Source organism: Homo sapiens, chromosome 7 (assembly GCF_000001405.40).
Source record: "Homo sapiens chromosome 7, GRCh38.p14 Primary Assembly".
In the NCBI taxonomy this organism is placed as follows: Eukaryota; Metazoa; Chordata; class Mammalia; order Primates; family Hominidae; genus Homo; species Homo sapiens.
Window position 1 is genome coordinate 37450947 of NC_000007.14, and position 1193 is coordinate 37452139.

Below are 1193 nucleotides of genomic sequence, written 5' to 3' on the forward strand. Positions count from 1 at the left end.
CAAGGGGAAGACTGGAAATTCTTTACAGTGTTACGGTTAGGCCATGTGCGGGAACATGGAGTTGATCTTTGGAACCAAAGTTCCTGATCCACTTTCTCTAAGTCCCTTAGGATTTAATTCAGGCATCCAGTGTCTCCCCATATCCATGGATTACATTAAAATATTAAGATGCCACATGACATCCCACTAAGGAGCTCCCTCTGCTAAGCTGGGAGAATAGCATTCTTTGGTTCACTGGTTATTAATAAACTGCTTAACAGTGCAATTGCCAAACTTCAATTTTCTCTTCTATTCATAAAGACATCTTAGAAGTATTGTCAAGTGTCTTAGAGGAACCCGCCTTCTCCCTCAGCTCTGCTGGTGGTCAGCAATGGATGCAATAAAGTGGAATATGTGGTGTTGTCATGTATGTGGGCTCCATCTTTGGACCTGGTTGTTGTGTATAAATCCCACCATTACCATTTACTGGCTGCATTACTCTTAACTCATGAGATTGAAACCATGTCTGCCAGATACGGTTAAGTGAAGATTAAATGAGTTAATTCATGAAAAATTCTTAACAGGGCCTAACACATAGAAACACTCATTGAATGTTAGCTATTATTATCTACAATAGTTCTTCAATGGACAAGTCATATTAACAGACTCAAAAAATAAAAGAGCAACATCCACTCCCTCTTTTCACATGTCAGTCTCCACCCATAATGGTGAGAAAGATCTGTTGCCACTGTCCCTTCTCAGCTCCTGGTCACAGCTTGGGCCATTCAATCATTAGGTCATGCTTTAGCAGTGAGGACGGCCATTTTATAGCAAGGAACAGAATCCAAGTGCATCCCTTCACTTGCACTTCTGGTAAGCCCACCTGGGCAGAACTTAGACCTTTGTGCAGACAGGCCAGCCTCATCCACATCTCAAGTGGTTAGGGAGACTGATTCAGGATCTCCTCTGTAGAACCATCTGTCTTAGTTTCAGGATAAGTAGAGGAAAAGAGAGCAGGGTAGGGACAGATGGCTGGAAAATCAAAATCACTTAAGCCTCAAGTCTAAGCTTCATTCCCCCACCGTGTTTCTATAAGAAAGCTTTGAATTGTTAATGGACAGAGAGGTATTTGGGGCAGTTTCTCATATTTAAATACTTTGATCTTGTGTTTCCCATGTCTTTATCTTTCCTTGTGTGTACAAAATTCCAAACTA